Raw genomic sequence first — 16,019 nt, forward strand, 5'->3', positions numbered from 1 at the left:
CCAGGAGCCCTTGATATATTTAGAGGTGGGACCCAACCATGAGTTAATCACCTTTTTAATTGACTCCAGAGCTGTGTGTTTGTCTGTTTTACCCCAGCTGATTTAACTTGTTCTCCAGAGTAATTGCTAGTCTCTGGGGTGAAAAGAGGAGGATTTAAAATAAAGATTTTAGAAAACACAGAGGTGAATTATAAAGATTGGTCAACTTGTATTCAATTTTTATTAATTCGTGAAGCAGGAACAAATTTATTAGGGAGAGAGATTTAATGCTAAAATTAGGCATAGAGTCTACAATTTGGCCCAAGAAGTTTCCAACTTCTCTAAATTTGCTGACTATGGCAGATGAAAAGTACATTCATCCTGATATTTGGTCCAAGGAGGGAAATCGAGGGAAGTTATGAATTCCCCCAATCCAAATCAAATTAAAGATTCCAGGGGAGATAGTAAGGAGGAAGCAGTACCGTATCTCTTTAGAAGGACGGGTGGGGTTGAAACCTGTGATTGAAGGACTTATCAAGGATGGGCTTCTCAAACCCTGTATGTCTCCATATAGCACTCTCATTTTACCGGTCAAGAAATCAGATGGGTCATATTGATTAGTGCAAGACCTTAGAGCTATTAATGAAATAATCCAAACCACTTATCCTATTATGCCTAACCCATACACTATTCTTAGTAAGATTTGCTACAGTCATCAGTGGTTCACCATCATAGTTTTAAAAGATGCTTTCTGGGCATGACCTTTGGCAAAGACAGCCGTGACATATTTGCTTTTGAATGGAAGGGTCCTCATATAGGACAGAAACAACAATATAGATGGACAGTTTTGCCCTAGGGATTTACAGACTCACTAAATCTTTTTAGTCATGCTTTAGAGAAAATAGAGAAGGCTGCTGTTCCAAAGCAACTGAGTCTACTTCAATACATGGATGATATTCTTATATCTGGGGAAGACACAGAAAAAAGTAACTGAATTTTCTGGATACATTCTAAATCACTTACATTCTGAGAGGTTGCGAGTTTCAAAAGGAAAACTTCAATTTGTAGAACCTGAAGTTAGATACTTAAGTCACTTAATCAGTGCAGGGAAAAGAAGAATAGAACTCGAATGGGTTGAAGGAATTGTGTCTTTGCCATTGTCCTGGACAAACAAGAACTTAGAAAATTTCTAGGGTTAATTGGATACTGTCATCTATGGATTGATTCATATGCATTGGGGAGTAAATTGTTATATGAAAAATTAACTAAAAGAGTGCCTGATCTGCTTATATGGTCCTCTGAAGAGGTTGATCAAGTTAATGAGTTAAAAGAGAGACTAATGTCTGCTCCATCTTGGCTTTACCTTCCTTAGAAAAACCATTCCATCTTTTTGTTAATGTAAACAATGGAGTAGCTTTAAGAGTGCTTACTCAGGAACGTGGTGGTTGCTGGCAGCCAATGGCCTTCCTGTCTAAATTTTTAGATCCTGTCGCCTGCGGATGGCCTCAGTGCATTCAATCCATTGCAGCCGCAGCAATATTAGTAGAAGAAAGTAGGAAGCTAACCTTTGGAGGATAACTGACAGTCAGTACACCTCATGAAGTCAGAGCCATCCTGAACCAGAAAGCAGGAGGATTGCTCACTGACTCTAGAATTTTAAAATATGAAGCTATACTATTAGGAAAAGATGATTTAACCATAACCACAGATAATTCACTTAACCCAGCAGATTTCTTGACAGGAAACCCATTGCTAAAAACAGAACACCTATGTCTGGATTTAATTGACTATCACACAAAGGTACAACCAGACTTAGTAGAAACTCCCTTTAAAACGGGGAGACACTTATTTACAGGTGGATCCTCCTGGGTATTTGATGGAACACGACATAATACGTATGCAGTAATTTCTGGGGAAACTCTCAAAGAAATAGAATCAGGAAGATTACCTAATAGTTGGTCTGCTCAGGCTTGTGAATTACGTGCTCTCAGTCAGGCTTTGAAATATTTAGGAACCAAATAGGAACCATCTATACTGACTCTACATATGCCTTTGGAGTATCCCATACATTTGGGAAACTTCAGCTGAACGAAGCCTCATTAACAATACAGGTCAGGATCTTGTTCATGAAACATTGATAACCCGCATTCTAAATAATCTCCAGTTGCCGGAGGAAATAGCTATTGTCCATGCTCCTGGACATCAACATGATTCCTCATTTGAAAGCCGAGGGAATAATCTTGCAGATCAAGTAGCCAAGAAGGCTGCAGTCTCTAAGACACCCATTTTCCATTTGACTCCTTATCTTCCTCCTTCCACTATAGTTCCTATTTTCTCTCAGGCTGAGAAAGAAAAATTAGTGGAAATTGGAGCTCAGGAGAATTCAGAAGGAAGATGGATACTCCCAAATCAAAGGGAAATGTTATCCAAGCCCCTTATGAGGGAGGTCTTATCTCATCTGCATTAAGGGACTCATTGGGGCCCCCAAGCTCTGTGTGATGCGGTTCTCAGAGTTTATAGGTGCATTGGAATTTATACCTTAGCTAAACAAGTCACAGATGGTTGTTTGATAAGTAAGAAAACAAATAAACAGGCCCTAAGAAAATTACCTGTTGGAGGAAGGACTCCAGGGCTAAGACCATTCCAAAGTGTCCAAATAGATTACACTGAAATGCCCTCAATTGGCTGTCTAAAATATTTATTAGTAATAGTAGATCATTTCACACACTGGGTAGAAGCTATTCCTCTCTCAAAGGCAACTGCTAGTAATGTGGTGAAGGCATTAATTGAGCATATTATACCTAGATTTGTAATAATAGAAAATATTGTTTCAGACAATGGGACCCATTTCACTGCACATATTATTAAGAAATTAGCCTAAGTGTTAGACATAAAATGGGACTTTCATATTCCCTGGCAACCCTCCTCCTCTGGAAGAGTAGAAAGGATGAACCAAACTCTTAAAAACCTTTTAACTAAATTATTTTGGAAACATGGTTGCCATGGACCAAATGTCTTTCCATTGAGTAATTAAGGATTAGGACTGCTCCCCGGAAGGGTATTGGCTTATCCCCATATGAAATGTTATATGGATTACCTTACCTACATTCCTCAGCTAATGTTCACACATTTGAAACCAAGGATCAATTTCTTAGAAATTATATATTTGGTCTCTCTTTCACCTTCTCTTCCCTTAAAACAAAAGGTCTTTTAGCACAGGCGCTGCCCTTGGAGTTCCCAGTGTATCAGCAACAGCCTGGAGATCACGTTCTCATCAAAGGGTAGAAAGAAGGGAAACTCAAGCCACCCTGGGAAGAACCCTACCTTGTGCTGCTAACCACTGAGACTGCTGTTGGCACAGTGGAAAGGGGATGGACACATCACACCAAGTCAAGCAAGCACAATTATCATCAGAATCATGGGCCATTATTCCTGGATCAAGTCCTATCAAATTAAAGCTAAAAAAAGATTAGTCTATCTATCTTTTTCTTTTCTTTCCTTCCCTCTAACTACCCCTCATCTTGTCATCAATATAACCAAATCAGATTCACCACAGGTTATAACATTTGATGCTTGCCTTTTTATACCTTGTGGAGGTTTGCAAAGACAGAGACAACTCTCTACTTCGGGAAAATACCTCTGCCCCTCCAGGGAGGCCACTGCCACCCCTGCAGCTTGCTTCTGATGGGGGTACCAAGATACCCCAAATTGGAATTTATATGGTCAGTGCGCAGATGTCATCTGGACTACTAAAGATTGAGGCTGGACCTCTGAGGAGGGATGTGCCGACTTAAAGCCATCTCAACCTTACTGAAGGGATTGCCCCCCTACCCCGCAATTGTCAATCCCACCAGTGTAACCCCGTGCTTATAGCCATTACCATTCCTACCACTAGCAACTCTAAACCCACTTAAGAGCATTTCTGTGGTTTAGGAGCAGAGGCCACTGGAAATGATCCTATAGGCTTACTTAAGATGCACTTTGTTCTCCCTCTTCCACCTCCTACAAGTGCCCCTTTCCCAAACCTACAAAATCAAACTCTGAGTCACCTCATGCCAAATGACAAAACCAAGGTCTCAGTAGAAGAAATAGGGAACTGAAGGCAAACCATAGCCATTGAAACAGGGTATAAAGATGTAAATGCCTGGTTAGAATGGATTAAATATTCCATTTGCACTTTAAACAAAATGACTGTTATGCTTGTGCACATGGTAAGTCAGAGGCCCAGGTTGTTCCCTTTCCACTAGGATGATCCTCAAATCAAGCAGACATGGAGTGCATGATAGCTCTTTTTCAAGATTCCACTGCCTGGAATAACAAATAGTGCCAAGCTCTTTCACTGCTATTTCCTGAGGTTCAACACCCTGCGGGTCAGCCCCTGAGGGCCATCCAGCCTCCATCTTCCAAGACCAATTTTACCTCATGTCTCCAACGACAAGGTGAATAAGTTGGCATTCCTTGGAGACTTAACAGGATGCAGTGAATCAGGCACTTCCAAGAGCCGACCCATCAGTCTGCACTTATTCATCCCCAAGTGTATGTGTGGTGGTATTGTGTCCCGAATTGGTGGGTTCTCGGTCTCACTGACTTCAAGAATGAAGCCGCGGACCCTTGCAGTGAGTGTTACAGATCATAAAGGCGGTGTGTCCGGAGTTTGTTCCTTCTGATGTTAGGATGTGTTCGGAGTTTCTTCCTTCTGGTGGGTTTGTGGTCCCGCTGGCTGAGAAATGAAGCTGCAGACCTTCGCGGTGAGTGTTACAGCTCATAAAGGCAGCGTGGACCCAAAGAGTGAGCAGCAGCAAGAGTTATTGCAAAGAGCGAAAGAACAAATCCTCCACAGTGTGGAAGAGGACCCGAGTGGGTTGCCACTGCTGGCTCAGGCAGCCTGCTTTTATTCTCTTATCTGGCCTCACCGACATCCTGCTGATTGGTCCATTTTACAGAGAGCTGATTGGTCTGTTTTACAGAGAGCTGATTGGTCCGTTTTGACAGGGTGCTGATTGATGCATTTACAATCCCTGAGCTAGACACAAAAGTTCTCCACCTCCCCACTAGATTAGCTAGATACAGAGTGTAGATTGGTGTATTTACAAACCTTGAGCTAGACACAGAGTGCTGATTGGTGCATTCACAATCCCTTAGCTAGACATAAAGATTCTCCAAGTCCCCACCAGATTAGCTAGATACAGAGTGTCGATTGATGCATCCACAAACCCTGAGCTAGACACAGGGTGCTGACTGGTGTGTTTACAATCCCTTAGCTAGACATAAAGGTTCTCCAAGTCCCCACTAGACTCAGGAGCCCAGCTGGCTTCACCCAGTGGATCTCGCACCGGGGCCACAGGTGGAGCTGCCTGCCAGTCCCACGCCCGGCACCTGCACTCCTCAGCCCTTGGGTGGTCTATGGGACCGGGCGTCTTGGAGCAGGGGGCTTTGCTCCTCGGGGAGGCTCAGGCTGTGCAAGAGCCCATGGCCTGGGTGGGGCGCGGGAAGGCTCAGGCATGGGGCACTGCAGGTCCCGAGCCCTGCCCCACGGGGAGGCAGCTAAGGCCCTGCGAGAAATCGAGTGCAGCACTGGTGGGCTGGCACTGCTGGGGGACCCGGCACACCCTCCGTTGCTGCTGGCCCGGGTGCTAAGCCCCTCACTGCCCCAGGCGGCAGGGCCGGAGAGGCCAGCGGGCGGCTCCGAGTGCGAGGCCAGCCAAGCCCATGCCCACCTGGAACTCTAGCTGGCCTGCAAGGGCCATGTGCAGCCCCAGTTCCCGCCCATGCCTCTCCCTCCACACCTCCCTGCAGGCTGAGGGAGCCGGCTCTGGCCTCGGCCATCCCAGGAAGGGGCTCCCACCGTGCAGCAGCAGGCTGAAGGGCTCCTCAAGCATGGCCAGAGTGGGCACCAAGGCTGAGGAGGTGCCAAGAGCGAGTGAGGGGAGTGAGGGCTGCCAGCAGGCTGTCACCTCTCAGTATTATGGAGGACCTTTACTGGACATTCTGCCAAATAATTAGAGCAGTACTTGTGCTGTAGTTCAATTGACTATCCCTTTTAACCTGGCATTTCATCAACCAGAAAAAGAAAAAAAATCTAGCCTCAATTCTTACCTCTTTAACAATTGTAATAAGTATACTACTTCTTCTTAGGTGTTATGTAGTACCATAAATCCAGGAGTTAACGAAAACAACTAAGCCAAGACATGTTAAGCAAGTTTGAAGAGGAACTGTAAAGCAAAAGAGGAGGGAACTGTAGAGCGTAGAAAAGTTCCTCTTCAAAGTTAGTCTTGGTTTAAAAATAAAATAATAGACACTAGGAATAATAGCTCCTTACTCTAAAGCCTCCTATCAATGCTTAGTTCTTACACTTTAGCCCAGTTAGTTGCTGTGGCTTACTCAGGCATGTCTGGACAGGCCCAGGAAAGTCTTAGCTCATAGCTTATGCCCCTTCTTTATTTGGAAATGTTATTGCTTCCTTAAACCTTTCATAAGCAACTTCCTTTTCTTCTTTACTCTTCCTTGCACTTACCTATTTAGGAAAGTTTTAGGTTATTAGCAAATTGGGTATCACTTTAAGACTGTGAAGTCCAGCTCCAGCTGAAGGATCCAGGACACAGCAGTAATGATGACCCAAGTGTGTAAGGGATAAATATGTCTGCTTTTCCTTTGTTCAGGTGTGCTCTCACCATTGTTCCATCTGTGAGGGGCAACCTTTCTGCGGAAAGTAAAGGTTGCCTTGCTGAGAGATCCTTTGTCTCCATGCTGACTTTTCTTCATGGCACCAATCATCTGTTTCTAACAATTTCATTATTTTATAATGTATACATATTAAAATCTCATGTTGTACCCAAACAATTATTATTAGTCAATTAAAAATTTTTAAAAAAGGAATATAATGACAGTAAAAAATTTCTATTTTTAGAGAAATAAAATAATCTTAATGTTTGAAGGAAACAAGAGTGATTTATTTACAGAGGGATTTCCAATATATTCTTTGATCTTCGTAATCCAATGAGATATACAGATCAGATTGAATAACAATAAATCTCTCAATTTTTTTCTATGCAAATATAATGGAGTGATGACTTTTACTAACATCAAAATGAAATTGGAGCCAGTTAGCAAAGTGGAGGACATTCTTTCTGGAGGCAGAGAGAGCAAGATCTAGATTTGTCAATTGCTAGCTGTGTGATCTTTAGCATTACCTAACATCTATGAATTCCACATATTACATTATAATAGTAACAAGACTGTCTCATCCTATAAGGGTGTTCTAGAGGTTAATTCAGATAATTATTTGTTATTTTTCCTTACTCTTTTGAGTTTTGCACTACTAATGCTTTCAAAGCAAGCATTTTTATGTAGGTTTTTTTCTGACCTTTATGACTAGGAAAGCCATAGCTAAAATAATTCATAGTTACATAGGTCATGCCAGGAAAAGTTAGAAGGTTCAGTATTTCTTTAAATATTAGTAATCTAGACTACACTTCCTGAGGACCAGGTCTAGTTCATTTTTTTATATAAACATCTAGCAGATGTTACCAAACTGATCTTGGTCCTCCCTGCCTGGCACAGCCAGAGCAAACACTGATATTGGAATTGCAGGCAGAGAAAATGAAGAATTTATTGTAGGGCACCAAGCAAGGAGAATCAGGGAGCTGATGCTTAAGACCCAAACTCCCTGATGGCCTAAAGGCAAGGGTTTCAAAGGCAGAGAGGCAGAAGTTTCAGGCAAAGGCATGCATGCAGAGTATCCATTGGTTTGCCATAAAAAGGTGGGAGATCTCAAGGTGGGGTCCAGAGGTCATAAATAGATTGAAAGAGTTCTGATTTGTGATTGATTAAGCTTTGTCTAAAAACCTGGGGTCAGCAGAAAGGAATGCTGAGCTCTGGCCTGTGGGCATGACTTTCTCCAAGTCCCTCAGGAAGAAATTTAGAACAAAGGGCAGTGGTCTGAGTTCAGTCCTCAGTTCCCCTGCATCTGGGGTCTACCTGCCAGCAGGCAGGATTTTCCACTTCATGGAGGTTGGGTTTCTGAGAAACAACTCAGGGACATATGTTAAGATGTTATCTTTAGTTTCCATGAGAAATCAAATATTTTGAGCCTCTGATTTCCTTGGTTATTATTTTAAGATACTATTACCTTCTTGCTTATTTACTCCTCAAGACTAGGTAAGTGTCTGGAACTTCCTTTGAAGGAATTTAAGATTTTCCTTTCCCTTATTTCCATGTTTGGAGGGCCCAGCAGGCTCCTAAGAGGCATCCCTCATCCCTGCTCCATCTCATAGAGAGCTTGGTGGTGCTCTCTAAATGTCTGTTGAATTGATAGATTTGCTTGTCAGGCCAAGGTTAGCTCAAGACTGTGACTAGGTAGATCAAGTTTGTCCAACCCACAGTGTGTGGGCCACATGCAGCCCAGGCTTTGAATGGGCCAACACAAATTCGTAAACTTTCTTAAAATATTATGAACTTTTTTTTTTTTTTTTTTTGCTCATCAGCTATTGTTAGTGTTAGTATATTTTATGTGTGGCCCATGACAATTCTTCTTCCAATGTGGCACAGGGAAGCCAAGAGATTGGATACCCCTGGGGCAGATAAAACTGAACTCCATGGGTTCTTCTATGAAGATGCTGATTCGAGGAGCAGGTGTTGGGTGTAACTCTTACCAAAAGTGTTTGTGGGGGGTAGAGGTGTTGGGTACTACTGTATTGAGAGGGGTAAGAAAAAAAGAGGAATCTCCTATCTTCATTTTCTGGGGCAGTCTTAGCAAATCAACACAAACTTGATGGCTTAAAATGACAAAAATTTATTCTCTTCTGGCTCTAGAGATGAGAAGTCCAACACGAGGCTAAGGTCAAGGTGACTGCAGGACTGGGTTCCTTCTGGAGGTTATAGTGAAGAATTAGTTTCCTTGCCTTTCAGAGTTTTAGGGACTGCCCGCCCACCTTCCATGTCTTCTCCATCTTCAAACTCAGCCACAAATGTTGAGTCTCATGATGAGTCATTCTGATCCTTCTTCTATTCCTTTTCCTCTTTGAAGGACCATTGCTTGCAATTACATTTGAACCACCTGAATACTATAGGATAAATTTCCCATCTCTAGGTTTTTAACTTAACCACATCTGCAAAGTCCCTTTTTCGAAATTTAAGATAACATATTCTGAGGTTACAGAGATTAGGATGTGGACATTGATGGGGTGATATTATTCTGCTCACCACAAAGGACTTCCACCAAAGATGAATTATGTAAGAATACAGCCTGGGTACAAGGCAGGTCATTTTCCTGCTCCGCAACAGGCAAGGCTAGCTGCCATCCCTACGCTTGTGGCAGGCCTCAATTATTAATTCTCCTTTCCACCAGTGCAGCACTGAAAGCTCTGACTATCCTCATAGGCTTAAGGATCCTTGCTTGTGCACCTGTCACATTCCAATGTGTTTCTTCCTTTTGCTCCAGATTTAGCAAATGGCTAATGCTTAAAGCAAATTTATTTAAAACAATTGAAAGTGATTTTTACCTTGCCGTACTTGTCAGGAATATATACGTTGAAAAGAAAGGGTTGGGCACAGAGGTGCTTGAGAAAAGAACTTCATTTTAGGGCAGATTCCTCTGGTCACAGTCTGCCTTCCTGTAAATAGATGTCTCCTGCTAAGCTCAGGGTGGCTTGTGCACTGCATAAGTGCTCTCTCCCCATTGAAAACTGCACGTTGAAGCCCATGTCTGTGAGCTGTGCTTCTATGACCCCCTTCTCAGGCTCCCATTTCCCATTAGGGTTAGAGAGACAAGGAACTCATACCTCTGAGTGTTCAAACAGGCAGGAAGTAAGCACTTTCAGGATTCCTTTGAGGAGCCTGAGACCTAGCATTAGCCTCTCTGCAAAAGAAGCTAACCAGAAGCACAGATTTAAAGTAAGGAGTTTTGTTTTTTTCTCTGCATCTGCCATAGGCTTTTTTAACCTCCCTTCTACTCTTGTTTCATTTTTGCATGCACGTACACATAAATGCATTTCACTCCCTGGCCTAACCCTGGGTCAGCACAGATCCACTCACACACACATTCTCCTTCACTTTTAAAAGGCAATGCTTACAAAGTATTCATTCCTTTTGCTTTACATTGTAAAAAACAAAACCAGGGGCAAATCCTTATTGAATGTAGCATTTTTTTTCCCCTTAGTTGTAGGATAAACGCCAAGAATTTAAGAACATTGGAGTTTTAGTTAGACTAGGTTTCAAATAGTAAATTCAATTTTTGTTTGTTTATTTAGCAACAGAGGATAAAGGAGCCAAGAGAAAACCAGACTATCTCTACAAGCATTAATCAATACTGTTTCATCAAAGCCTTTTTGGTTCATTAAGAGGGACAACCTGGCTTACTCTGATGCACTGCTCCCTTTTGTCAAAGCAAGTTAACAATCCAAGGCCCAGTCATCTGAAGTGAGTTTAAAGTGTTTTGTAAATGAAGTCAACATACAGTTGGGAGTAGTCATTATGACCAGATAGTTTTGGATAGGATCAAATAGTAATTTGTTATAATCTGTTTTAATATGAACCACTCTTAAAATATTTAAAAGGATAGTGTCAAGTCATTTTTGCAATCCTTCCCTCCTCCAGTATAATTTATTTCCCTTTCTGTGATAACCTCAGAATTACATTCCTCCTTATATTTGTGGCTTCTTTTATTTCTGGTGAGAATTGCTTTCATATAGACTCCCCCTTTCAGACAACTGTAAACCAAAAATAAAATTCTAAGCCACCACCACTGACTGAACAGACTCCCTCTGGGCTAAAGAGAACCCAGAGAAAACTGAATTCCTGAGCATGACAGGAAGGGAGGTTGGACACACCTCCTGATCTCCCTCCCTTTTGGGGCTTAGGCATGATTGACCAGCATTAACATTAACATAGAGATCATGAAAGTGACCAAATATTCTTTGTGGCAATAAGATACAAAATTCCAACCAGACTCTGGTATACCATCACACGACAGATAGCAGACCCTGAAGGGAATCAAGGCATTTTGTCCCCAAATATATATTTTTGGCATTTTTAGAAATGGCTGCCACAGGGCCAGCAGACTGAAATGGCCCTGCCAAGCTGTCTGTTGTGGGAGAAATTTGCATCTGTAGAGAATCTCCATTATTGCAGCCATACTTTCCCTTTCTAGGCCTTTCTGAGATCTAGGAAAGATTAACTGAGTGCCCGACACCTTTTTAAGACCTTAAAAGAGATGTTTACCATCTTTTCTTTCTGAGGGTTGATACCTATGAGGCTTCAGCTACACAACGAAAAAGTTGACCTCCACAGCCTCCTTACCTTAAGTCAAGCATTTATTTCTAATGACTTCAAGTCTTTAGTCAAAGCTTAACTTTTTCAACCAATTGCCAATCAGAAAAACTTTGAATTCGCCTGTGACCTGTAAGACCCCACTTGAAGATGTCTCACCTCTTTAGGCTGAACCAATGTACACCTCCCATGTGTTGATTTATGATTTTACCCATAATTCCTGTTTCCCTAAAATGTATAAAAATAACTGTAACTTGATCACCTGGGACACACTTTTTCAGGACCTCTTGAGACTGTACCATGGGCCATGGTCATTCATATTGGTTTAGAATAAGCCTCTTTAAATATTTTACAGAGTTTGGTTTTTCCATTAATACAACCCATATTCTGGATGAAATATTCACTTTAAACATTACAACTTTGGCTCTCTGCCCCTTTTTCAGAAGAAAATTGTTATTTACATGCCAGTGTTATTACATTTGTGAGTAAGATTCCCAAGCATTTGTAAGGCATTTGTTCTTCAGTTGCTTTGAATCAACTGCCATTAGAGAGAACATGAAGTCTATACACTGGATGTGGTGAAAATAATAATAATAAAGTTGTGTTCATGTTTGAAGAGGTATTTTATTAGTAAAACAACAGGGTAGAAAGATAAATCATAATCCATATGCAAGTTAAATTGGATGACCTAATTTAATGGCAATTTTAGTAATCTCAGGTGCTAATAAAAACACACATATTCTGATGTGACTAAAGATAATATTTATTTCTGGAAAAATGGAAAGCGACTTTATTCTGTGGGGGGTTATTCTGTGATTCATTTTAAAACTTTTTTTTCTATCTTAATATAAAAACATCCTTCAATAGTTTGCACCTCTTCTCTTACCCAACAGCAGAAAAGCTATTGATTTGAGACATTTTTGAACAATTCTTATTTCTTATGTAGAGGATGATAAGGATAGCCATCCCAGAATAACAAAATAACAAGTTAATCAGAGGAGCACCTGAAGTGCAGGGCACCAAAAGTGAGTTCCTACCTGGTGTTGAGGAGGACCATGAAGACATTGTCACTATTGCTTGCAAATGTGGTGCGGTGGCTCATGCCTGTAATCCCTGCACTTTGGGAGGCTAAGGCAGGTGGATCACCTGAGGTCAGGAGTTCAGGACCAGCCTGGCCAACATGGTGAAACGTTGTCTGTACTAAAAATACAAAAATTAGCCGGCCATGGAATCTCAGCTACTGGGGAGGCTGAGGCAAGAGAATTGCTGGAACCCAGGAGGCGGAGGTTGCAGTGAGCCAAGATTGCATCATTGCACTCCAGCCCGGGCAACAACAGGGAGACTCTGTCTCAAAACAAAAACAAAAACAAAAACAAACAAACAAACAAACAAAAAGAATGACCCTGGCTTGACTCACAAAAGCAGAAAAAAAATTGTGTGAGAATGCTCATTTCTAGCTAATAATGTTCATCCTATTCAAGTTTTTTTTTTTTTTTCTGGGGATGAAATTGCATATCCTTGTGGTTTTTACTTGTGTTTCTGAGAGAGAAGAAAGGAAGAAACTTGTCAGGTGGTTAGGGTGGGTCCTTGATTGAATTCTTTCAAACAAATGAACAGCCTGAAAAATCAAGCTGCAGGCACAGATAAGGGAATTTACACAGGAGGGCTTGCCTAAGACATGCCCACAGCTGCACAGATAAGAAAGGCTACATAGGTGACTTGTCCAGACATGCCCGCAATGGAAAATTCCATCCCCTAACACATGTGCCGTAAAGGGACCAAAACAATATGGAGTAACTCAAGCTAAGGGCCCTCATGAGCACTAGGAGGATAGGGAAGAGCTACCAGAAATTCACACCTTGTGCAAATGAGACACCCAGCCCTCACTGGTTTCTCAAAAAGCCCTTTGCATTCATTTGTTTAAATGGCAACCCATTCAGGCCCCCTCTCTGCTGCGGGAAGCTTTCTTCCTTTGCCTGTTAAACTTTTGCTCCAAACTCATCCTTTCTGTCCATGCTCCTTAATTCTCTTGGTTGTGAGACAAAGAACTCCAGGTGATAGATACTTCACAACATGATACTGCTGCATTGTGGTGCCTTGGTGAGACTGTAACATTTCCTTACTCAGTAGTAATGCAGAGCACCTTCATGTACTTATCTCCTGTATTCATAGTCTATACACACATATGCAACATCAACAAATAATTATTCACATCTCATTTTTACTTCACAACATGCTATTGAATATCAAATTATTGAACCAATTCTTTGCTGTTGAAAATTAGGATTTATCCAATATTTCACCCTCTAAGCAAAGCTGAAACAAATGTAATTTTAGATACTTTTTCAACAATGAATATATTTCTAGGAGTGAAACTACCAGGGCAAAAGTTATGAATATTTTAAAGCCTTTTGATTTATGTTACCACGCTGCCTTTGAGAAAATCTACATCAAATTGTACTTGCATCAGGAGTGGTGCATTTCATTAAAAAAGTCTTAAATTTTGCAAAACATCTATATTATTATGTATAGCACTATTCAACGAACTTAAATTTCCATTAGCTAGGACTCATTCTCAACTCTTTTGGCAGACAAATTATTTAACTATAAACATCTCCCTAAATTTATCAAAATATAATTTGCTTCACATAATTTATAGAGATCTCAATCTGTTAATGATGCCTGTCCTCAGTACTGTCCCTTCAATATGACCTTAAGAGTTGTTTAATAAATTTGTTTTCTTTAATTTTAAAGTTTATATATTTGTCTATTTTCTATTTTATTTCTTCAGTTTAAGATAACTTTTCCCCCACAGGGATATTTACTTTTCTTTATTCTTTTCCAAGGCCAATTATGAATAGAATTGTGTTTTAAATATCTATTTCCTCATACAATATGAGTATTCCCCCCACGGTCTAGAATATTATTGATATATTCTCCATCTGTACTTAGCTATTCCATGTTTGGATAGCTCTAATTATTTAATCAAATCTATGGTAATATAAATGTCCCCTGTATGTCTTTTTTATTATTTTTCCTAGTTTTATACTCATAAGAAATATAAAACATGTTTAATCATACTTTCCTTTGCAGCTCTTAAACTATTTACAATTTTAATTTTGCTTAAATTGTGTACCCATACTAAATATCCCTAATTTCTTTTTCCATTTCCCATATAAAGATATTGAACCCATCTGTGTAGCTTGTCACCTCCCCAAGGAACACTCCAATTTGCCTTTTAAAATCACAGTAAGAAATAAACTCATGTTCTCTGTGGCTTAACAAGGAGAGAATATACTGGACAATCACCTTCCTCTTTTACTTTTCAAGACAGCCAGCATCATCTACAGCATTCCTTAAACAGATTAATAATTAATCAATAGCAACACGTAAGAGTTGAATAGTATGGGGATTAAAATCAAATCTTTTTCTCTTTTCACTTTTTTGTGTCAGTAAAGTTGTGCTTCTTCAACTCTGTGGTGATTGTACTTTGATTACGTGCAGGAATTTAGCTATAAGTATTAAATATTATTTAGTTACATTCAATACATTTATGAAGCCACTGACATCAGTAAGTAAACAGATCCTGTGAACCCAGTGTGGCAGAGACAGTGCTAAGAGAAACCTGGGCATAGCTTCTTTCCTCCACACATATGTGTGGATTTGCTGAGGCTGGTTTGCTGTAAATATTTTCTGTTAAAAGCTTAGACATGTGGGTGGGGTGGCTATTTCCTTAATATTAATAGTAATGTATGCTTTAATTATAGGAAGGACTAGAGAGAGAATACTATTTTGAGTGAGGTTATACTATTTCGAGTAACACTATTTTTAGCAGTGAGCCAACATGTCCTCTAGAACAAGTAGGAAAGCTGGATTAATTTCAAAATCATATAGCAAAGGCATCAGAGAGCTACAGAAACAAGGGCTAATGTATTAATGGCCTGAATACAACAAAAACAGAGGAAGGGCAAGTTTGCTCTCAGTGCTCCAGTGAGGACCTTCATCTTCTCCTGCCCTGCGACATTAGTGCTCCCATCTCTAGGGCCTTTGGACTTTGACCAGGACTTGCCTCTTGGACTTTCCTGGTTTAGCCTTTGTGAACTATGGCACCACATTTCCTGGGTCTCCAGCTTGCAGATGGCAGATAGTGGGACTTTTCAGCTTCTAAAATCATGAGAGCCAATTCCTATAATAATTCTTTTTCCATATATATAGATATCCTATTGATTCTGTTTCGCTGGAGAACTCTAATACATATGACAAACCAAAAAAGTGAAAGAATATATTTGTAATAAATATGTCAGACAAATACTAATATCCATGCTGTATAAAGAGGTCTTACAAATGGAAAAAGAGAAAACAATGTGGGAAAAACAGGGAGGAACACTTCACAATAGACACATCTCAATAGCTAATGAATATTTTTAAAACTCACTCAGCTTCCTTAGTCAGCAGATTATGCAAATAAGACCACATTGAATACTACTACATACCCACCAGAAAGTTAAACTTTAAAAGGACAGGAAATACTAAGCTTGAGGAGTACATAAAGTAAATGGAGCATTCAAACATTGCTGTTAGGACTGTTAGTTGATCCAGCCACTTTGAATGACTATTTGACAGTGTTTGCATACGCTGGACGTAGTCATACACTGCGGCTCTGTACTGTTGTAATAGTCTGAAGCTTCACATGCAACTCAAAACAGATAAATTAAGGCATATCTATATACTGTAATACAAAACAGCAATAAGAATGAACATACTATAGGTATGTG

At 40.5% G+C, this 16,019-nt stretch overlaps 1 annotated feature.

Moving 5' to 3' along the window:
- Positions 12,055 to 13,254: an enhancer, noted in NCBI's record as "P300/CBP strongly-dependent group 1 enhancer chr8:50022257-50023456 (GRCh37/hg19 assembly coordinates)". NCBI's record gives its function as "activates an origin of replication core promoter dependent on BRD2, BRD4, P300/CBP, MED14 and CDK7 cofactors, with strong dependence on P300/CBP, by STARR-seq in HCT116 cells {active_cell/tissue: HCT116}" and the evidence as "EXISTENCE:reporter gene assay evidence [ECO:0000049][PMID:35650434]".

Source organism: Homo sapiens, chromosome 8 (genome assembly GCF_000001405.40).
Source record: "Homo sapiens chromosome 8, GRCh38.p14 Primary Assembly".
Classification (NCBI taxonomy): domain Eukaryota; kingdom Metazoa; phylum Chordata; class Mammalia; order Primates; family Hominidae; genus Homo; species Homo sapiens.